This window comes from Homo sapiens, chromosome 3 (assembly GCF_000001405.40).
Source record: "Homo sapiens chromosome 3, GRCh38.p14 Primary Assembly".
NCBI lineage: Eukaryota > Metazoa > Chordata > Mammalia > Primates > Hominidae > Homo > Homo sapiens.
Window position 1 is genome coordinate 48,070,548 of NC_000003.12, and position 23,225 is coordinate 48,093,772.

The window sequence follows — 23,225 nt, forward strand, 5'->3', positions numbered from 1 at the left end:
CTGGCCTCAAGCAATCCTCCCATCCTTGGTATCCGAAGTGCTGGGATTCCAGGTGTAAACCACTGTACCTGGCCCTATTTTGTGTTTTTGTAGAACAGGTTGGAAGTGTGGACCCACCAATACATTCTTTTAAAAAAATTTTTAGTATTTTCTTATTAAAAGGGAACTGTGGGCCAGGTGTGGTGGCTCACACCTGTAATCCCAGCACTTTGGGAGGCAGAGACAGGAGGATCACTTGAGGCCAGGAGTTAAGAGACCAGCCTGGGCAACATAGTGAGATCTCGTCTCTACAGGAAAAAAAAAAAAAAAAGCAAAAACTTAGCCAGGTCCAGGTCCATATGGTGGTGAGCGCCTGTAGTCCTATCAACTTGGTAGGCTAAGGCAGGAGGATCACTGGAGCCTGGGAGGTCAAGGCTACAGGGAGCAGTGATCACACCACTGCACTCCAGCCTGGGTGACAGAGTGGGACCTTGTCTCAAAAAAATAAATAAAATGAAGTAAAAAGGAACTACCCCTTTTTGAAGTACAGTGTGCTTTTAAAAAGCATTTCTCCATGTCTCGTAATAAAGGGCAGACAAAAATATAACAAACAAATGGGTCAGATACTGCCCTTTAACTGCAAATGGTTTGTTACCCCCATGTCTCTGTAACTTAGTGAATAAGAGGGAAAGGAAAATAAGTAAGCTTGAGTTTACTCAAGAAGAAATCTGAGGGCCAGGCACGGTGGCTCACAGCTGTAATCCCAGAACTCTGGGAGGCCAAGATGGGCAGATCGCTCGAGCTCAGGAGTTCGAGACCAGCCTGGGCAACATAGTGAAACCCTGTCTCTACAAAAAAAATACCAAAAAAAATCAGCCAGGTGTGGTGGCACACGCCTGCAGTCCCAGATACCCATAAGGCTGAAGTTGGGAGGATCACCTGAAACCAGAAGGTCAAGGCTGCAATGAGCCATGATGCCAAACCACACTCCAGAGCCTGGGCAATGGACTGAGACCCATCTCAAGAAAAAAAGAAAAGAGAAAAAATCTGAACACAGAATTAACAATGAACATAGCCAATCATTACGATAAATACTTCTAAATTCATGAAAAAAGTAGCCGGGTGCAGTCGCTCACACCTGTAACTCCAGCACTTTGGGAGGCCAAGGCAGGTAGATCACTAGAGGTCAGGAGCTCGAGACTGGCTGGGCTAATGTGGTGAAACCCCATTAGCAGGGTGTGGTGGTGCGTACCTGTAGTCCCAGATACTCGGGAGGCTAAAGCAGGAGAATTGCTTGAACCCAGGAGGCAGAGGTTGCAGCGAGCCAAGATCGCGCCACTTCACTCCAGCCTAGGCAACAGAGTTAGACTTGGTCTCAAAAAAATAAAAAATAAAAATAAATAAATTAATGAGGCCAGGAGCAGTGGCTCACGTCTGTAACCCTAGCATTTTGGGAGGCCCAGGCAGGTGGATCGCTTGAGGTCAGGAGTTCGAGACCAGCCTGGCTACTAAAAACATAAACATTAGCCAGGCATGGTGACATGCGCCTATAATCCCAGCTACTCGGGAGGCTGATGCAGGAGAATCACTTGAACCCAGGAGGCGGAAGTTGCAGTGAGCCAAGATCATGTCACTTCACTCCAGCCTGGGATGGAAACTCCATCTCAAAAATACTACTACTACTACTAATAATAAATTTGGCCAGGCACGCTGGCTCATGCCTGTAATCCCAGCACTTTGGGAGGCCGAGGTGGGCGGATCACTTGAGGTCAGGCATTCACAAGACCAGCCTGGCCAACATGGCAAAACTGCGTCTCTACAAAAATTACCTGGGTGTGGCAGCGTGTGCCTGTAGTCCCAGCTACTTGGGAGGGTGAGACAGGAGAATCACTTGAACCCAGGAAGCAGAGGCTGCAGTGAGCCAAGAAGGCGCCACTGCACTCCAGCCTGGGCAACAGAGTGAGACTCTGTCCCAAAAAAATAAATTATAAATTCATGAAAAAACTATTTTTTTAATGAGGCCAGAACACATTTCCCTAGGGAAATAATATATAAAATCAAATTAATGTTCCTATTCTTAAATGCCTAACTTTATGATCCTTAGTATTCTGAGTTCCAGAAACAAAGGATAATTAGGGGCAAAAGGTATAGAAGAGCAGAGACAAACGTGAGAATTGCCTTTCCTGGACCTCAGGAAGCATTTTATAATAGGTAAAAATAGTTTTACAATATCCCACTTCCCTTCTGTGCCATTTTCCAAGTCATTAGTGGCATTATGCTCCGCTAAGTCCCACTACTGTAGCACCTGACTGCAGCATCAATTGAACATACATTTGCCAGTAGAGAAAGAGAAACAAGAAATGAAGTATGGTCTCTGACTTCAAGGGACTCTCAGGCCAGTGACAAGATATATTTAATTTTAGGCCAAGTGCAGTGGCTCACGCCTGTAATCCCAGCACTTTGGGAGGCTGAAGCTGGTGGATCACTTGAGGTCAGGAGTTGGAGACGAGCCTGGCCAACATGGTGAAACCCTGTCTACTAAAAATGGTGGCACATGCCCGTAATCCCACCTACTCAGGAGGCTGAGGCAGGAGAATCATTTGAACCTGGGAAGCAGAGGTTACAGTGAGCAGAGATTGTGCCACTGCACTCCAGCCTGGGCAACAGAGAGGCTCCATCTCAAAAAATAATCATAATTTTAAAACAATATGGAAATCCAAAGGAATACACACACACACACACACACACACACACACACACACACACACACACACACACAAATTAGCATTAGTAAACAAGTTCAGCCGGGTGCGGTGGCTCACACCTGTAATCCCAGCACTTAGGGAAGCTGAGGCGGGTGGGATCACCTGAGGTCGGGAGTATGAGATCAGCCTGACCAAGATGGAGAAACCCCGACTCTACTAAAAATACAAAATTAGCCAGGCATGGTGGCACATGCCTGTAATCACAGCTACTTGGGAGGCTGAGGCAGGAGAATCGCTTGAACCCAGGAGGCGGAGGTTGCGGAGAGCCGAGATCGCTCCATTGCACTCCAGTTTGGGTGATAAAAGCAAAACTCCATTTCAAAAAAAAAAAAGAAGAAAAAAAAAGTTCAGCAAGGCCACAGAATACCAGATCTATAAAAATCTTTTATTTCTCTATACCAGCAATCAACAACACAAAATGAAATAAGAAAATAATTCCATTTTCAATAGCATCAAAAGGAATAAAATACTAAGGAATAAATTTAAAGTAAAAGACTTGTACACTAAAAACTACAAAATAGCTGGAGAGGATGTGGAGAAATAGGAACTCTTTTACACTGTTGGTGGGACTGTAAAACTAGTTCAACCATTGTGGACTACAGTGTGGCGATTCCTCAAGGATCTAGAACTAGAAATACCATTTGACCCAGCGATCCCATTACTGGGCATATACCCAAAAGATTATAAATCATGTGTCTTTTAAAGACACATGCACATGTATGTTTACTGCGGCACTATTCACAATAGCAAAGACTTGGAACCAACCCAAATGTCCATCAATGATAGACTGGACTAAGAAAATGTGGCACATATACACCATGGAACACTATGCAGCCATAAAAAAGGATGAGTTCATGTCCTTTGTAGGGACATGGATGAAGCTGGAAACCATCATTCTGAGCAAACTATCACAAGGACAGAAAACCAAACACCGCATGTTCTCACTCATAGGTGGGAATTGAACAATGAGAACACCTGGACACAGGGTGGGGAACGTCACACACTAGGGCCTGTCATGGGGTGGGGGGAGGGGGGAGGGAAAGCATTAGGAGTTATACCTAATGTAAATGATGAGTTAATGGGTGCAGCACACCAACATGGCACATGTATACATATGTAACAAACCTGCACATTGTGCCCATGTACCCTAGAACTTGTAAGTATAATAATAAAAGAAAAAAAAACTACAAAATACATTATATATATATATACACACACTTTTTTTTTTTTTTTTTTTTTTGAGACAGAGGCTCACTCTGTTGCCCATGCTGGATTGCAATGGCAGGATCACAGATCGACGTCCTGGGCTGAAGGGATCCTCCCACCTTATCCTCACCCTGATGAGTAGCTAGGATTACAGGGGCAAGCCACCACATCCAGCTAATTGTGTGTGTGTGTGTGTGTGTGTGTGTGTGTGTGTGTGTGTGTGTGTGTGATATGTCGGCCAGACTGGTCTCGAACTCCTGGGCTCAAGCAATCTTCTCACCTCAGCCTCCCAAAGTGCTGGGATTACAGGTGTCAGCCACCACCACACTCAGCTTAAAAAATATTCTTGAAAGAAATTAAAGACATAAACAAATGGAAAGGCATCCCACGTTCATGAAGTGGAAGATCTGACATTGTTAAGATGGCAGCACTCTCTAAATTGATCTACAGATTTAAGGCATTCCCTATCAAAATTCCAACTGCCTTTTCTGCAAAAGTTGCCAAGTTAATCCTAAAGCTCAAATGGAAATGCCAAGGATCCAGAATAGCCAAAACAATCTTCAAAAAAACAAAATTAGAAAACTCACACTTCCTAATTTCAAAACATATTACAAAAGTACATTAATCAAGACAGCATATTTATGCAGATAGTAGCAGATAGTAGTACCACAGGGTGAAAATACAAGAAAGCAAGCATGATGGTACTGGCATAGACGTACACCAATGCAATAGAATTGAAAGTCCAGGCCGGGCACGGTGGCTCACACCTGTAATCCCAGAACTTTGGGAGGCCGAGTCAGGCGGATCACTTGAGGTCAGGAGTTCAAGACCCGTCTGACCAAAATGGTGAAACCCCGTCTCTACCAAAAATATAAAAATTAGCTGGGTGTGGTGGTGCATGCCTGTAATCCCAGCTACTCAAGACGCAGAGGCAGGAGAATTGCTTGAACCTGGAAGGCAGAGAGGTTACAGTGAGCTGCGATCACGCCACTGCACTCCAGCCTGGGCAACGGAGCAAGACTGTCTCAAAAAAAAAGAAAGTCCAGAAATAAGCCCACACCTCTGTGGTCAATTGACTCAAAACATGGATGCTAAGATGATACACAATTCAATGGAAAAAGAAGTCTTTTCAACAACTGGTTCAAGGACAACTAGATATCCACACACCAAAAAAAACAAATGAAAAAGATTTTGGGCCGGGCGCAGTGGTTCACGCCTGTAATCCCAGCACTTTGGGAGGCTAAAGCAGGTGAATCACCCGAGGTCAGGAGTTCGAGACCAGCCTGGCCAACATGGTGAAACCCCAGTCTCTACTAAAAATACAAAAATTAGCTGGGTGTGGTAGCGGGCACCTGTAATCCCAGCTACTTGGGAGGCTGAGGCAGGAGAATCGCTTGAACCCGGGAGGTGGAGGCTGCAGTGAGCCGAGATCACGTCATTGCACTTCAGCCTGGGCGACAGAGTGAAACTCCATCTCAAAAAAAAAAAAAAAAAAGAAACAAAGAAAAAGATTTTGGATTCCTACCTCACACATCATGTATAAAAATTAATTTGAAATTGATAAAAAAAAAACTAAATACAACAGCTAAAACTATAAAATTATTTAAAGAAACATAAATTACACCTATAATCCCAGCATTTTGGGAGGCAAGGAAAGCGGATCACTTGAGCCCAGGAGTTCGAGATCAGCCTGGACAACATAGTAAGACCACATCTCAGCCGGGCGCAGTGGCTCACGCCTGTAATCCTAGCACTTTGGGAGCCCGAGGTGGGCAGATCATGAGGTCAGGAGATCAAGACCATTCTGGCTAACATGGTGAAACTTCATCTCTACTAAAAATACAAAAAAAAAAAATTAGCCGGGCATGGTGGTGGGCACCTGTAGTCCCAGCTACTTGGGAGGCTGAGGCAGGAGAATGGCATGAACCCGGGAGGTGGAGCTTACAGTGAGCAGAGATCGCACCACTGCACTCCAGCCTGGGTGACAGAACGAGACTACATCTTAAAAAAAAAAAAAAAAAGGTTACCAAAATTAGCCAAGCATCATGGTGCACACCTGTAGTCCTACCTACTCAGGAGACTGAGGTGGAAGGATAGCTTGAGCCTGAGAGGTGGAGGCTGCAGTGGGCAGATATCATGCCACTGCACTCCAGCCTGGACAAAAGACAGAGACCCTGTCTCGGAAAGAAGAAAGAACGAACGAACGAAAGAACAAACGAATGAAAAAAACAAACAAAAGAGAAATCTTTATCACCTTAAATTAGGCAATCGTTTCTTAGATGTGACACCTATAGCACAAGCAACCAAGAAAAAACTAGATAAACTGGACTTCATCAAAATTTAAAACTTTTGTGTTTCAAAAGATACTATCAGTCAGGCATGGTGGCTCACACCTGTAATCCCAGCACTTTGGGTGGCCAAGCAAGAGGATTGCTTCAGCCCAGGAGTTCACTGGGCAATATAAGGAGACCCCATCTCTAATTAAAATTGTTTTTTTTAATTATCCAGGTGTGGTGGCACACACCTACAATGCCAGCTATCCAGAAGGCTGAGGTGGAAGAATCACCTGAGCCCTGGAGGTCAAGGCTGCAGTGAATCATGATCGCATCACTGCACTCTAGCCTGAGTGACAGAGCAAGATCTTGTCTCAAAAAAGAAAAGAAAGCCAGGCACGGTGGCTCACGCCTGTAATCCCAGCACTTTGGGAGGCGGAGGTGGGCAGATCACCTGAGGTTGGGAGTTCGAGCCCAGCCTCACCAACATGGAGAAACCCCACTCTACTAAAAATACAAAATTAGCCGGGCATGGTGGCACATGCCTGTAATCCCAGCTACTCAGGAGGCTGAGGCAGGAGAATCGAATCACTTGAACCCGGGAGGCGGAGGTTGCCATGAGCTGAGATCGTGCCATTGCACTCCAGCCTGGGCAACAAGAACGAAACTCAGTCTCAAAAAAAAAAAAAAGAAAGAAAGAAAGAGAAGAAAAAAATAATTTTCTGGTTTTAATTTTTTTTTTTTTATAGAGACAGGGTCTCACCATATTGCCTGCCCCAGGCTGGTCTTGAATTGCTGGGCTCAAGCAGTCCACCCTCCTCAGCCTCCCAAAATGCTAGGATTACAGGCATGTGCCACCACGCCTGGCGATAAATAATTTTTTAAAAGGTTAAACATAATTAACACATAACCAAGCAATTCTCCTTCTAGGTATTTAGACAAAAATAAATGTCCATATAAAAGCATATCAATCTTCACAGAGCATTATTCATAATAGCTAAAAAATGCAACCCAAATGTTCATCAATGGATGAATGCATAAACAAAATGCATTATATCCATGTAATGTAATATTATTCAGCCATAAAAATGAATGAAATGATACATGCTACAACATGGATGAACCTAAAAGCATTATGCTAAATGAAAGAAGCCAAACACAGAAAGGCCATTTATTGTATGATTCCATTAATATGGAATGTCCAGAACAGACAGGAAGATGATTAGTGGTTGCCAGAGGCTGGGTGAATGAAGGGAATGGAAGAGACTGCTAACGGGTATGAGGTTTCTTTTGGGGGTAATGAAAATGTTCTGGACTTAGATAATGGTGGTAGTTGCACAACATTGTGAATACACCAAAAACCACTGAATTCTATGATTTTGTTTTGTTTTGTTTTGACAGGGTCTTGCTCTGTGGCCCAGGCTAGAGTGCACGATCATGGCTCACTGCAATCTCAAATTCTTTGGCTCAAGTGAATGATCCTCCCACCTCAGCCTCCCAAGAGTCTGGGACTACAGGTGTGCACCACCATGCCTGGCTAATTTTTTTTTTTTTTTTTTTTTTGGTAGAGACAGGGTTGCCATGCTATGTTGCCCATGCTGGTCTCAAACTCCTGGGCTCAAGCAATCCTCCCACCTCAGCCTCCCAAACTGCTGGGATTACAGGCATGAGCTACCATGCCTACCCCAAATTGTATGCTTTAAAATGGTGAGTTTTACGATATGTGAATTATGTATCAACTTTTTTAAATGTGGAATGACATATGCCCAAAGATATACATTGGGGAAAACATCAAAGAGTAGGGTAGAAAGGGGCCGTGAATGACCTTCTAAAGGTGAAACTTGAGCTGATATGTAGAGAACTAAGCCTGTAAATCTGCCTTATCCCCCACTTTCTCTGCTCCCAATCCTTCCTAAACTGAGAAATCACTTGTCACCCAAAGCAACACACTCACTACCCAAATTCAAATTATTTCAATAAAAATATGTTCTTCCCATAAGAAAATGACTGAGAGCTCTCCAGAGTCCTACTAGTGGATTTCTATTCCTAAAAGAGAAAGTGGGCTAACCCAAGTGAATTATATGCTGAGCATCCCAAATCCAAAAATCTCAATCCTGGGCTGGGTGTAGTGGCTCATGCATGAAATCCTCAGCATGTTAGGAGGCTGAGGTGAAAAGATCACTTGAGCCTAGGAGTTTGAGACCAGCCTGGGCAACATGGTGAAACGCTGTCTCTACAAACAATACAAAAATTGGCTGGGCATGGTGGCACGTGCCTATAATTCCAGCTACTCAAGAGGCTGAGGCAGGAGGATCACCTGAGCCCAGAAGTTCAAGGCTGAAGTGAGCTGTGATTATGCCACTAAACTCTGGCAACAGAGCGAGACCCTGTCTCAAAAAACACACAAAAATCCGAAATCTGAAATGCTCCAAAATCTAATACTTTTTGATGTCAAAGGAAATGCTCACTAGAGAGCATTTTGGAATATCTGTATACTACAGATATTCCAAAATCCAAAAAATCCAAAATATGAACAATTCTGGTCTCATATTTCAAATAATGGATACTCAACCTATATCTGATTAAGAATTTCAAGGCTGGAGCTGGGTGCAGTGGCTCACGTCTGTAATCCCAGCACTTTGGCAGGCCAAGGTGGGCGCATCACTTGAGGTCAGGAGTTCAAGACCAGCCTGGTCAATATGGCAAAACCCCATCTCTACTAAAAATACAAAAATTAGCTGGGGCCTGGTGGTGTGCACCTGTACTCCCAACTACTTGGGAGGCTGAGGCAGGAGGATCGCCTGAACCCAGGAGGCAGAGGTTGCAGTGAGCCGAGATCACACCACTGCATTCCAGCCTGGGTGACACAGCAAGACTCCATCTTAAAAAGAAAAAAAAAGCCGGGTGCGGTGGCTCACACCTGTAATCCCAGCACTTTGGGAGGCCAAGGCGGGCGGATCAAGAGGTCAGGAGATCGAGAGCATCCTGGCTAACAAAGTGAAACACCGTCTCTACTAATAATACAAAAAATTAGCTGGGCACGGTGGCAGGTACTTGTAGTCCCAGCTACTCGGGAGGCTGAGGCAGGAGCATGGCGTGAACCCGGGAGGCGGAGCTTGCAGTGAGCCGAGATAGTGCCACTACACTCCGGCCTGGGCAAAAGAGTGAGACTCCGTCTCAAAAAAAAAAAAAAATCTATAAATAAATTTGTTGTAACTTTGTCTTCTGACAATAATAAAAGGCTTAGAAAGCACATTTCACGAGAGGTAGCTGGGGGAAAAGCCACTAGTGTGGAAAAGAAAAAGGTGGGACAAAATAACTGTCATTGAATAGGTGCAAAGTTGAGATTAGAGCTACAGGGAATAACTGTAGACAGAAAAATTAGGACCACTGAAGAGAAACTGCAGGGAGGCAGATCTACAATCATTATCCGGAAAATCTTTCTAAAATGACAAATCTGCAAACCTGGAATTGGTAGCAACCAGCTGTGAAGTACTTATCTTGGGAAATACCTGCATAGAGAACTGGAGGAATCACCTATTATGTGAAACATTTGTCTAGATTATCTCTAAATCTCTTCTATGATTCTACGAGGAGGAAGAAGTCCAGAAAAAGAATTGTTTTTGCTCTCAATACTGCTGAAAGTATTTTTTTTAAAAAAGCTAAATACCAGGAACTTCTTTAATTAAAAGGAACAATCCCATCAAGAAGACAAAGGTTGATTTGTTAGTCAAGATAATGAGACTGCTTTCCTTAGGATCAAGTATAGCACTGGGAGTGAGAATAGGTCATTTGGCCAGGAACAGTGGCTCACACCTATAATCCCAGAACTTTGGGAGGCTGAGGTAGGAGGATTGCTTGAGGCCAGGAATTCAAGACCGGCCTGAGCAACATAGCAAGACTCTGTCTCTTAAAAAATAAATAAATAGGCCGGGTGCAGTGGCTCAAGCCTGTAATCCCAGCACTTTGGGAGGCTGAGGCAGGCGGATCACGAGGTCAGGAGATCGAGACCATCCTGGCTAACATGGGGAAACTCTGTCTCTACTAAAAAAATACAAAAAATTAGCCAGTTGGCCGGGCGCCCTGGCTCACGCCTGTAATCCGAGCACTTTGGGAGGCCAAGGTGGGCAGATCACGAAGTCAGGAGATAGAGACCATCCTGGCTAACACGGTGAAACCCCGTCTCTACTAAAAATACAAAAAATTAGCCAGGCGTGGTGGCGGGCTCCTGTATTCCCAGCTACTAAAGAGGCTGAGGCAGGAGAATGGCGTGAACCCGGGAGGCAGAGCTTTCAGTGAGCCGAGATCATGCCACTGCACTCCAGCCCAGGCGACAGAGCGAGACTCCATCTCAAAAAACAGAAAAAACATTAGCCGGGAGTGGTGGCAGGCGCCTGTAGTCCCAGCTACTCAGGAGGCTGAGGCAGGAGAATGGTGTGAACCCCGGAGGCGCAGCTTGCAGTGAGCCGAGATTGCGCCACTGAACTCCAGCCTGGGAAACAGCGAGACTCCATCTCAAAAAAAATAAATAAATAAAATAAATAAATAAATAAATAAATAATAAATCTTCAATTCTAGATACAATCACTCACTTCCTGTTTGGCCAAGGGTAAATGATTTCATCTCTCTACCTGAGCTGAAAAACAGTAATTTAAAATACCAATATTATAGGAGTATAATTTAAATTAGTTAACAACTGCAAAATGCTTTGGAAATTTACTTTATATGACAATTAAGACTATTTTTTACTTCATATATATATTAGAGTTGAAAAAATTAGCATGTATTATTCATTAAATCAGCCAAATTTCTCACTTTCAGAGAAAGAAGCAAGGAAGAGAATGCTAGAATGAACTCTGTGGTGCTGGATCAGCATCAGAGATATCAGTATAAACTCATGTTTATATTTATATACAGACAGATACGGAAGTAAACGAAGATATGTGTGGGTCAGTATATATATATATTACTTCCTAACTATCCCCTGAGAGGGCCTAGAAGCAGTGATACCCTAGCAGTAATGAGTGCATCAAGCTCATTTAGAAACCAGATAGTGGTTTCCAAATACTCTTCTCCAACAGAAGGAACCAGGACACCTTGGAGAAATGGCTGATTTTAGGGTTGGGGCAGGTAAAGTACAAGATGAGACTGGGGCATCTTACAGTGCCAGGAAGTACAAAAGTGCTAAAAGACAAAGAAAGGTAGGGAAAGGTATTTCAAAAGAACATAGGTGCCAATGTTAGAATGGCCAAAGCTGGAACAACTTGAGCAACAAAATACAGTACTGGATTATAAGCAAAGAAAAAAATATTCATGGGTCCATGTTGACATAAATGATTTAATAAATAAATGGGGGAGGCATAAATCTTCCTTACAAAAGGATTCCAAATCATAAAAGTAGAAAGAATTAGAAAAATAGAAAACCAACAGAATAATATAATCAACGCTGCCGCAGGCAAGATTCACTAATGAATGCTAAAATAAGTAGAGGAAATTTTTAAGGAGAAATCAGATTCTGTATAACCTCACAGTTATCTTCCCCAAAATATTAACTAATTACTTTAGGAATTTTAACATGCCCACAAATTCTTTGATACTCCTCCCTTCAGGGGTTGGAGCTTAATTCCCTTCCCCCAGAATATGGATATGACTTGGTGACTCATTTCTAGGTTCTATCAAGTAAAATTAAAAAGCAGAACAACAGTCACTTTACAGTGCAGAACATCACTTTAATCAAGTTATCAAAGTTAACAAGGCACAATGGCTCATGCCTGCTATCCTAGCATTTTCGGAGGATGAGGCCGGTGGACTGCATGAGGCCAGGAGTTCAAGACCAGCCTGGGCAACATGGCAAAACCCTGCCTTTACTAAAAATACAAAAATTAGGTGTGGTGGCACGTGCCTGTGGTCCCAGCTACTTGGGAGGCTAAGGCACAAAAATCACTTGAATTGGGTAGGCAGAGGTTGCCGTGAGCCAAGATCATGCTACTGCACTCCAGCCTGGGCAACAGAGCAAGACTTTGTCTCAAAAAAAAAAAAAAAAAAAAAAGTTAATCAGTAACGAGTCATGTTGATATCAGGTATTCCCAGATATGATGTGACAAGAAGGGTAAACCATCTCTATGGTATTTTTCCCCAAAATGCATAACCTCGGGCTAATCATGAGAAAGCACCAGAAAACCCAAAATGAGAACCATTCTACAAATGCATGACCACTCATCTTTAAAGGTGTCAAGGAAAGATAGGGAAGGAGAGACTAAGAAACTGTCACCTATTGGAAGAAACTAAAGAATTGTGACATCTAAATGCAATGTGGTATCCTGGATTGGATCCTGTAACAGGAAAAGGACATCAGTGGAAAACACAGGAAAATCAGAGGAAAGTCTGTAGTTTGCTCAATAATATTCCACTAATGCTAATTTCTTAATTTTGATAAGGGTATCAGGTTATATAAAATGTTAACGCTAAGAGAAATGGAATGAATACAGAATGTATATAGAAAGTCTGTACTACCTTTACAACTCTTCTGTAAACCTGAAATTATTTAAAAGGAGTTTTAAACTATTTTCCATATAAAAAGAAGTGAGGAAAGTTATAAATAAAAAAATTTATTTTTTGAGACAGTCTCGCTGTAGCCCAGGCTGGAGTGCAATGGTGCAGTCTCGGCTCACTGCAACCTCTGCCTCCCGGGTTCAAGTGATTCTCCTGCCTCAGCTTCCCGAGTAGCTGGGATTACAGGCGCCCGCCACCAGGCCCAGCTAATTTTTGTATTTTTAGTAGAGACGGGGTTTTTACCATGTTGGCCAGGCTGGTCTCGAACTCCTGACCTCTTGATCTGCCCACCTCAGCCTCCCAAAGTGCTGGGATTACAGGCATGAGCCACCGCACCCAGCATAAATAAATTTTTAAACATATTTAAATATATGCAAACTAATAAAATATTAGTTTACAGTAAGATTAACTTTTTTTTTTTGAGATGGAGTTCCACTCTTGTTGCCCAGGCTGGAGTGCAGTGGCGTGATCTTGGCTCCCTGCAACCTGTGCCTCCCAGATTCAAGTGATTCTCCTGTCTCAGCCTCGCGAGTAGCTGGGATTACAGGCGCTTGCCACCATGCCAGCTAATTTTTGTATTTTAGTAGAGACAGGGTTTCACCATGTTGGCCAGGCTGGTCTCGAACTCCTGACCTCAAGTGATCCCCCTGCCTCGGCCTCCCAAAGTGCTGGGATTACAGGCATGAGCCATCATGCCCAAGCCAAGAAGATTAACTTTTTTAACCTATAAATAATCACAATAGCTGGTCGCAGCGGGAGTGCCTGTAATCCCAGCTACTCAGGAGGCTGAGGCAGGAGAATTGCTTGAACCCGGGAGGTGGAGGTTGTGGTGAGCTGAGATCGCGCCACTGTACTCCAGCCTGGGAATACAGCGAGACTCAGTCTCAAAAAAAAAAAAAAAAGAATAAGAACAAGAATCACAAAAGTTAGCCAGGTGTGATGGTGCACATACACAGTCTGAACTACTGGGGAGGCTGAGGCAGGAGGATCACTTGAGGCCAGAAGTTCAAGGCTGCAGTGAGCTATGATCTCCCCCACTGCTGACAGAACATGATCTCATCTCTAAAAAAAAAAAAAAAAAAGGAAAAAGAATCACGAAAGTAATTGTGTTGACTTTCAACCTTAAAATGTTAATGACATCCAAAATAGTTCACCATAAGGTCTGCATTTAAAGACTGGCCTAGGAGCTCTAAAATGGTAGATGAGTATGATGAATATGATCCCCTATATGTATCAGTGTGCTTTATTACCCCTTTTTTTTTTTTTTGCAGGGGTGAGCAGGTCTGGCTCTTTCAGCAAGGCTGAAGTGCAGTGGCACAATCATATCACTGGAGCCTTGAACTCCTGGGCTCCAGTGATCCTCCCACCCCAGCCTCCAGAGTAGCTGGGACTATAGACACATGCCACCACACCTAGCTAAGTTTGTTGTTGTTGTTTTTGTTGTTTTGCTGTACACTAAAATTATCTGGGGACCGACTAAGTTGTTTTTGTTTTTTTTTTAATGGAGACAGGGTCTCACTATGTTATCCAGGCTGGTATCAAACTTCTGGCCTCAAGCAATCCTCCGCCTCAGGCTCCCAAAGTGCTGGAATTACAGGCATGAGCCACCCAGCCCTACAATCCCCCTTCTTAACCTTAATTGTTCTCAACCCACTCACTCCTAGCAATAAGTCTACAATAACCTGGTTCTAAAAGTGCTGTTTAGAAAGACAAAGTGAAATCACTGATACTTACTTGGTTTCCTTTTCAAATTGACTATATACATGAACTGCCAAGATGCCTTCCACTGGGTCAAAATGTTCCTCTCAGATTTTCTCACATCTTAAGGAAATCTAAAAGCTACATAGCAACTACTCACGCTTAATCTTTAAAAAAAAAAAAAAAAAAAAGCAAAGTGATTCCAAAAACTGTCAAGAGCAAAAGTTTACAGAGCCAAAGGATTGATCACCAAATTCAGAAACAAGATTAGGAAAGAACAAGACACTATGAGATTAGGAAGAACAAGACACTATGAGATTAGGAAGAATCTACTCTCTGACTAAAGCTAAGCCGCCTATATATAAGAAAATCCAGGTGCTTCCTTCACTGTCAGCAAACAATGGAAAATGACTTTTTAATAGGTAATATAAATGTATTTGTAAATTTGAAAATTTTAACAAAGGGATGCTGGAATGACAAATATTTGAAGAGACTACTTAAAAAACAAGTGAGACAGAGTAGGAAAATGTGTTAAGACATCCTCCAGCACTGTATGTGTTTTTACACTGGGGAAAGGGAGACTCACTAGACTTTTGTTCCTTGATTAAAATACCCGTAAGGCCAGGCGTGATGGCTCATGCCTGTAATCCCAACACTCTGGGAGGCCGAGGTAGGTGGATCATCTGAGGTCAGGAGTTCAAGACCAGCCTGGCCAACATGGTGAAACCCCATCTTTACTAAAAATTCAAAAATTAGCCAGGCGCGGTGGCTCACGCCTGTAATCCCAGGACTTTGGGAGGCCGAGGCAGGCGGAACACGAGGTCAGGAGATAGAGACCACCCTAACACAGTGAAACCCTGTCTCTACTAAAAATACAAAAAATTAGCCAGGCGTGGTGGCACGTGCCTGTAGTTCCAGCCACTAGGGAGGCTGAGGCAGGAGAATCACTTGAACCCAGGAGGCGAAGGTTGCAGTGAGCTGAGATCGTGCCACTGCACTCCAGCCTGGGCAACAGAGTAAGACTCCATCTCAAAAAAATATATATATATGTGTGTGTATATGTATGTATGTGTGTATATATATGTATATGTGTATGTATATATGTATGTGTGTGCACGTATATACACACACTCACACACACACACACACACAAATTAGCCAGGTGTGGTGGTGGGTGCCTATAATCCCAGCTATCAGGAAGCTGAGGCAGGAGAATCACTTGAACCTGGGAGGCAGAGGTTGCAGTGAGCCAAGATCATGCCACTGCACTCCAGCCTGGATGACACAGCGAGACTCCATCTTAAAAAATAAAATAGAATAAAATAAAAATAAATGGCCGGGCATGGTGGCTTGCACCTGTAATCCCAGGGCACTTTGGGAGGCCAAAGCAGGCGGATCACTTGAGGTCAGGAGTTTGAGACCAGTCTGTCCAACGTGGCGAAACCCCGTCTCTACTAAAAATACAAAAATCAGCCGAGTGTGGTGGCACATGCCTATAATCCCAGCTACTCCGGAGGCTGTGGCAGGAGAACTGCTTGAACTCCGGAGGTAGAGTCTGCAGTGAGCCGAGATCCTGCCACTGTCCAGCCTGGGCGACAGAGCAAGACCCTGTCTCAAAAATAAATAAATAAATAAAATTTAAATTTAAAAAATACCCACTAAGAATATCTAGTGCCTTTCCAATTCCATAATCAACTACCTTTTTATTACTGATTAGGCAGCCCAGAACAATGGAGGTGTCCTGGTCAGTGGACAATTAAATCCAATTGTGCACATGGCACTTAATACTTCCAACATGCATTAACTGGTATCTGGTTTATCAGTCTCTGGTGAGTTTGTTTACTTTGCATGAATAAATTCTCAAGCACTTGAATCATCCCAATGTAAACCAAAATTCTGAAGTTTCTGAACTACTATGTGGGGGTTGGAGAGACCTTGGTTTGGTTGGATACCATTTTTGCCACTTAACTATCTGTGTGACCTCTTCTTCCCATCAGTCTCAATTTCCTCATCTGTTAACAAACATAGCTAGTGCCTGGGAGATGGCAAGTGCTCAAAAAGTGACAGCTTTATTATTTTGAAGCTAAATTTGAAAGGAAGTGTGTAACTGAGGTGAAAACATTTCATTTGAAAAGTAGTAGTACGGATCAGCAAACTACGTTAATTTAAAAGACACAGCCTGAAGAGAGATGTCCCAATCTTTGGAGTTGAGAAAAGCAAAGTTTAAAAGTTGCAAGTAAAGTACACACTGCACAGTACAGATGGGAGTCTCCTGCTTAGCAACTTTAATGTTGTCTACCAAACACCCAGCTTGTAATAGAGCATGACAACTGTTCACTCTAAATCCATGTGCTCAGCTTGGATTCAGGATTGATTTATAAAAATAGCTGCTGGTGGTGCTCTTTGAATCTCTTTGGGCTGATGACTGGGCAGTGTTACCCCAAAGGCCTAGAGCAGCTGTATTCCCTCACCACACCCATTTCTCTGTCTACCCAGCCAAGCTGACGGCACCCTGCCCCCGCCCCCCATCTCTACAGCATACTATTCACCCTCCTCCTGGGCTGAGTGAGCAAATTACAAGCACAAATATCCCCTGATGCAATGCCACAACCATCCCTGGGAAAGAGCAGAGGCAGTTGCCAAAAGCACAGCAGCAGGGAAATGGGCGGGAGACGCGCGCGCGCGCACACACACATACACACGCACGCGCACACACACGCACGCGCACACACACACACACACACACACACACACACACTGCAAGAAACACTGCAATGCTATGCAACCAGGGAGAGAGAATCGAGAGGCCCTGGGGAGCAATACTGTAACAGGACCAGAGAAGGCAAAGGAGAAAAGGGGGTTTCCAGTAGAAAGCTGGGTAACACTAACCTTCGCGAGGAACACGTATTTCATCCGAGCTTGGGTCCTAAAGCACAAACCTAAAGGTAATCAATCACTGCCTCTTCCCCAAAGCAGCAAATGCATTTAATTTACCCGTTCCTGGAAGTGAGCAAAACCCTCACAACTCCTCCACAGGACAATTTCACCAAAGGGATCTAACTCACACCGGCGGAGAACTTGTTCCATGTGCTAAATCACAATCTCTGTTCTGGGTAATGTTTCCAACTGCCTCTCCTAGTCCCTGTACCCTCCCCACCCCCACCCTAATGTGACCCTTTCGCACTCCCACTGCCAGACACACGCTTTAGTCCCCACACAGTGTCGGGGCCTTTGCAAGGGGGAAGAGCCCCGCCTAGGGCCCGGTTCTCCAGACCACCCCTCAGCCCCACCCATAATCCCTGACTGGACATACTAAGGCTCACCTCAGCCTCACATCAACTGACCCCCACAAAGCCTCAGAAAACGACCCCTGAGTTCTCCTACACCTCCGAACCCCACCCAGGGCCCCAGACTGCGGCCGACCCTCGCTCCGCGGCTCAGCCCCATCCAGAGCCCAAGGCATGTCGCTCGGCCCCACCGCCCCGACCCTCAAAAGCTGGACCTCTCAGCCCCCCTCACTCCAAAGACCCCCCTAGATCGCGCCTCAAAGACTCCGAAGGTCAAAGCCGCCAGCCCCCCGCCTGGCCCCCTCCCTCGGACGCCCCCGCGTCTCGCAGGCCGGCGGCCACCGCCCTTCCACGCCTCGGGCGGGCCCCGTGGGGTACCCAGCTGCCGCAGGGCAAGGCTCGGGCAGCCCCGGGACAGTGAGGAGGCCGCCCCTCCAATCGGACCCCGCCTGCGGCTGCACCTACCCGCCGCCGCCGAGACGGAGCTGGGGCAGAAGGGAGCCAGGAGAGCGCCGGGAAGAGCCGTGAGGAGGTAGGAGACGTCGGGAGGAGCCGGGAGCCAGCGAGCTAGCCGGAGGGGCGGGGCGCAGGGAGGCGGCCGCTTCCTCGTCGCCTCTTGAGGGCCGGCGCAAGGGAGGGACGCCGCCACCGCCTACCCGGCGAGCGCCGCCGCTCCGGCCAATAAGCGTGGCGAGGGGGAGGGCGGAGGGCTGTGGCGGACCAATGGGTGCTGGCCCTGCCGCCACGACGTCTCTGCAGAGCTGCCCGAGCCGCGGGCGGTTGGGGCGAGGTGCGCCTGGGGGCTCTAGCCTCCCGCCTGCGGCCTGCGAATGCCGAAGCGGACCGCAGGCCGATCGACTGCCTTCGCTGTTCTATGATGGCCGTCGCTCTCTCTCAGAGTCTGGGCGCCCGGAGCGAGGAGAGTGCGAGAGTCGGCGCACACGCGGACCGGGCCACCAGCGGGTGGGGCCTGTGGGCTCTGTGATGTAACTTGGGAGGGGCGCGGGGCGGGGCCTAGGTCGCGGGCCATCTGGGCTCTGGAAGGAACCCTTAGAGGAGCGGGAGGACGCCACAGGTCCTCGGCGGGGCTCCGCTCCCGTGAGCCGCATGTGGCTGGTGAGCTCTGAAACGTGGCTGGCCCAAGTTGAGATGTGCTGTAAGTGTACAATACACACCAAATTTCCAAGACTTAGTACCGAAAAAAAAAAAAAAACTCATCTATAATTTTTAAATGGTTACAAGTGGGATAATTAATTATAACAAAATTGATGACAGTTGGGGTATATTTGGTTAACTAAGAAATATTGAGGCCGGGCGCGGTGGCTCACGCCTGTAATCCCAGCACTCTGGAAGGCACTTGAGGTCCGGAGTTGGAGACCACCCTGACCAACATGGTGAAACTTCGTCTCTACTAAAAATACAAAAATTAGCCGGGCGTGGTGGCAAGTGCCTGTAATCCCAGTTACTTCGGAACGTGAGGCAGGAGAATTGCTTGAACCCGGGAGGCGGAGGTTGCAGTGAGCTGAGATCGCACCACTGCACTCCAGCCTGGGCAACAGAGTGAGACCCTGTCTCAAATAAAAAAAATAGGTTTCCTTTTCTGTTGAAATTAACATTACTTCATTCCAAAGCCCCAGATTTTGTAGAATCCTTAACTTACTGTTGTAGGAAAACACACAGGTGGGAGCTTTAAAGTTACTTTGATCATTCTTCCTGCTGCCTGGAGTAGCCAGCATATTCCTGTCCCAGACTTCAGGAATAGAATTGGCTTTGAGCTCCTTTGTAGTTAGATGGCTAGGAAAACTCAAAAGTATTGGAATCTTCCATCCCTTCTGTAAACCAAGAAGTATCTGAGACAGGTCTCAATTGATTTAGAAATTTATTTTGCCAAGGTGAAGGACATTCCTGAAAGGAAAAAACACAGAATCACAGAAACAGTCTGTGGTCTCTGCCTTTCTCCAAAGATGAATTTGAGGAATTCAGTATTTAAAGGGGAAAAGTGGGCTGGAGGGAAAATAGGGAGGGAACAAGAGAAAAGGAGCAGGTAGGGGAATAGTCAATTGTGTATTATGTCAAGTATGTCTGCTTAGGAATGAAAGGCAGTTTGTGCATGACTCAGCTTTCAACTTAATTTTTTCCTTTTGGAATAGTGAATTGGGGTCCGAAGTGTTTTTGTTTTTTGTTTTTTGTTTTTTTGAGATGGAGTCTTGCTCTGTCGCCCAGAGTGGAGTGCAGTGGAACAATCTCAGCTCACTGCAACCTCTGCCTCCCCGGTTCAAGCAATTCTCCTGCCTCAGCTTCCCGAGTAGCTGGGACTACAGGCGCACGCTTCCACGCCCAGCTAATTTTTTTTGTATTTTAGTAGAGACGTGTCACCGTGTTGCCCAGGCTGTTCTCGAATTCCTGAACTCAGGCAATCCGCCCGCCTCGGCTTCCCAAAGTGCTAGGATTTACAGGCGTGAGCTACCATGCCTGCCCCTAAGTGTTTTGTTTTTTGTTTGTTTTTTTTTTTTGAGACGGAGTCTCCCTTTGTCGCCCAGGCTGGAGTGCAGTGGCACGATCTAAGTTCACTGCAACCTCTGCCTCCCAGGTTCGAGCAGTTCTCTGCCTCAGCCTCCGAAGTAGCTGGGATTGCAGGCGCCTGCCACCGTGCCTGGCTAATTTTTGTTTTTTTAGTAGAGACAGGGTTTCACCATCTTGGCCAGGCTGGTCTTGAACTCCTGACTTCGTGATTCACCCGCCTCAGCCTCCCAAAGTGCTGGGATTACAGGGATGAGCCACCGTGCCTGGCTGAAGGGTCCGAAATTTCTTTAATATTTATTTTTCCCCAGGGCCAGGCAGTGGCTCACAGCTGTAATCCCAGCATTTTGGAGGCCAAGGTGGGAGGATCGCTTAAGCCCAGTGGGAGGGTCTCACTCTGTTGCCCAGACTGGAGTGCAGTGGTACGGTCATGGCTTGCTGCAGCCTCTACCTCCCAGGCTCAAGTGATCCTCCCACCTCAGCCTCCCAAGTAGCTGGGACCTTAGGCTTCTGCCACCACACTCGGCTAATTTTTTAAATTTTTTGTAGAGATGGGTTCTCACTGTGTTGCCCAGGCTGGTCTCGAACTCATTCCCTCAAGTTATCCTCCTACCTCTGCCTCCCAAAGTGCTGGGATTACAGGCATGAGCCACCGCACCCGGACCCCAGCCTTCTTTAAGTTAAGACAGTCACCATGTTATGTGTAGAGCTAGAGACCCAGGAGTGATTCTCAGTTATTCCCTTCCTTTTCCCCTCATACCTACCAGATTTTCCTCCTGCCTCAGAAACAGCTCCACTGACACATGCTGTTCTGGTTCAGTCCTTTTTCTTTTTCCTGTATCCTGCCATAGTTTCTTTCAAGCCTTCCCCTTGCTCCTGCTTCAGTCCAAATATCACAACCTTCTGTACCATCCCCTTCCATTCATAATATCCTCCTGCATCCCTTGTATGCCTATTACAACACTTACCATATATGTGATAGTTATTTGTATAAATATGGATCTGCCTGGCCAGGCGAGGTGGCTCATGCCTGTAATCCCAGCACTTTGGGAGGCCAAGGTGGGCAGATCACGAGGTCAGGAGATCAAGACCATCCTGGCTAACAAGGTAAAACCCCGTCTCTACTAAAAACTAATATATATATATATATATATCTGCCCTAACAGATTGCATCTCAAAGTACAGGTTCATTCTATTTCCCCACTTGCAGTGGAAAAGAACATTCCCTCCAGTTCCAGGGTGCCCAGGATGAAAAGCATAGAACCACCTATTCTGGGCATACTGCCTATGGGATTGCCCTGCTCCACAAGCAGCAGTAATAAAAAAGAAAGAAAAACAAGAAAAGCATAGAACCTCAACATCTCAAAGTTGGAAAGGATCTTAGCAAGCACTCAGTCTCATGTCTAAGGATGTATTCTTGAGACTTTACAAGTTCACAATAAGCCATCTCAGGATTATATTTGAGTTATCCTTTAAAAGCATGCTTTATGTCTATTCATCCAAATTTTGATGAAAATGTAGGCCAGGACACAAACATTGGCAGAATCCAATAGCTTATCTTAGAGGCTTTCCTCCAGTTTTAACCTAAACCCCTTCAATGGCTTTTCATTGCATCAGAATCCTAAACATGTATTTCAAGACCTCGTGCAATGATGCTGCCTCTGTCTTGCCTCATCATCTGCCTTTTTTCTCACTATGCCCAGTATCATCTGCCTTCTCTGTTTCTTGAACTTTCTCTTGTCAAGGCCCTCCTCATATTGTTTCCTCTGCCTATCCTAATGTATGATTAATATGATTTTCTACCAGGCATAGTGGCACACGCCTGTAATCCCAGCACTTTGGGAGGCCAAGGTGGGAGGATTGCTTGAGTTCAGAAGTTTGAGACCAGCCTGGGCAACATAGTGAAACCCTGTCTCTACAAAAAATACAAAAAAAAAAAAAAAATTAGCTGGGATGGTGGTGGGCACCTATAGTGCCAGCTACGTGGGAGGCTGTGGTGGGAGGATCACCTGAGCCTGGGGAGGTTGAGACTACAGTGAACCATGGTCATACCACTGCACTCCAGCCTGGGTGATGGAGTGAGACCCCATCTCAAAAAAAAGAAAAAAAAAGATGTGATTTTCCACATCGAAAATTTGAAAGACTAATAAAAGAGTTCATGGCCAGGCATGGTGGCTCATACCTGTAATCCCAGCACTTTGGGAGGTCGAGGTCAGGGGTTCGAGACCAGCCTGACCAACATGGTAAAACCCCATCTCTACTAAAAATACAAAAATTAGCCAGGTGTGGTGGCTTAAGCCTGTAATCCCAGCTACTCAGGAGGCTGAGGCAGGAAAATCACTTGAACCTGGGAGGCGGAGGTTGCAGTGAGCCAACATCGTGCCATTACGCTACAGGCTGGGCGACAAGATTGAAACTCCGTCTCAAAAATAAAAAGAGTTCAGCAAGGTTACTGGATACAAAGTTAATATACAAAAAGGCATAACAGCATATATACCAATAATCAGTAAGAAAATGAGATAGAAAAGAAAAACCCTACAAAAATGAGATACCACAACACACCTACTAAATAGAATGGGCAAAAGCCAGAACACTGGCCAGGTGCGGTGGCTTACGCCTGTAATCCCAGCACTTTGGGGGGCCAAGGCAGGCGGATCACGAGGTCAGGAGATCGAGACCATCTTGGCTAACACAGTGAAACCCCGTCTCTACTAAAATTACAAAAAATTAGCCGGGCATGGTGGCGGGCGCCTGTAGTCCCAGCTACTCAGGAGGCTGAGGCAGGAGAATAGTGTGAACCCAGGAGGCGGAGCTTACAGTGAGCCGAGATCGCGCCACTGCACTCCAGCCTGGGCGACAGAGCAAGACTCCATCTCACAAAAAAAAGCCAGAACACTGACAACACCAAGTGCTAGTAAGAATGTGAAACAATAGAAGCTCGCATG

The 23,225-nt window shown here is 45.6% G+C and overlaps 1 protein-coding gene across 151 annotated transcripts in view, besides 5 other annotated features; it reads right to left on the minus strand.

Moving 5' to 3' along the window:
- The window catches only part of MAP4 (microtubule associated protein 4), a 238,154-nt gene extending 219,853 nt beyond the window's left edge, over positions 1-18,301 (minus strand). For all 151 annotated transcript variants that reach the window (NM_001384862.1, NM_001384845.1, NM_001384867.1 and 148 more), the window contains exon 1: positions 18,226-18,301. The gene's annotated coding sequence lies outside the window, so the exon portion shown is untranslated. The remainder of the gene's footprint in view (positions 1-18,225) is intronic.
- Positions 17,099-17,148: a silencer, noted in NCBI's record as "silent region_14320". NCBI's record gives its function as "represses an Ori minimal core promoter by ATAC-STARR-seq in GM12878 lymphoblastoid cells {active_cell/tissue: GM12878}" and the evidence as "EXISTENCE:reporter gene assay evidence [ECO:0000049][PMID:35858748]".
- Positions 17,239-17,358: a silencer, noted in NCBI's record as "silent region_14321". NCBI's record gives its function as "represses an Ori minimal core promoter by ATAC-STARR-seq in GM12878 lymphoblastoid cells {active_cell/tissue: GM12878}" and the evidence as "EXISTENCE:reporter gene assay evidence [ECO:0000049][PMID:35858748]".
- Positions 17,999-18,568: a silencer, noted in NCBI's record as "silent region_14322". NCBI's record gives its function as "represses an Ori minimal core promoter by ATAC-STARR-seq in GM12878 lymphoblastoid cells {active_cell/tissue: GM12878}" and the evidence as "EXISTENCE:reporter gene assay evidence [ECO:0000049][PMID:35858748]".
- Positions 18,789-18,858: an enhancer, noted in NCBI's record as "active region_19821". NCBI's record gives its function as "activates an Ori minimal core promoter by ATAC-STARR-seq in GM12878 lymphoblastoid cells {active_cell/tissue: GM12878}" and the evidence as "EXISTENCE:reporter gene assay evidence [ECO:0000049][PMID:35858748]".
- Positions 18,919-18,968: an enhancer, noted in NCBI's record as "active region_19822". NCBI's record gives its function as "activates an Ori minimal core promoter by ATAC-STARR-seq in GM12878 lymphoblastoid cells {active_cell/tissue: GM12878}" and the evidence as "EXISTENCE:reporter gene assay evidence [ECO:0000049][PMID:35858748]".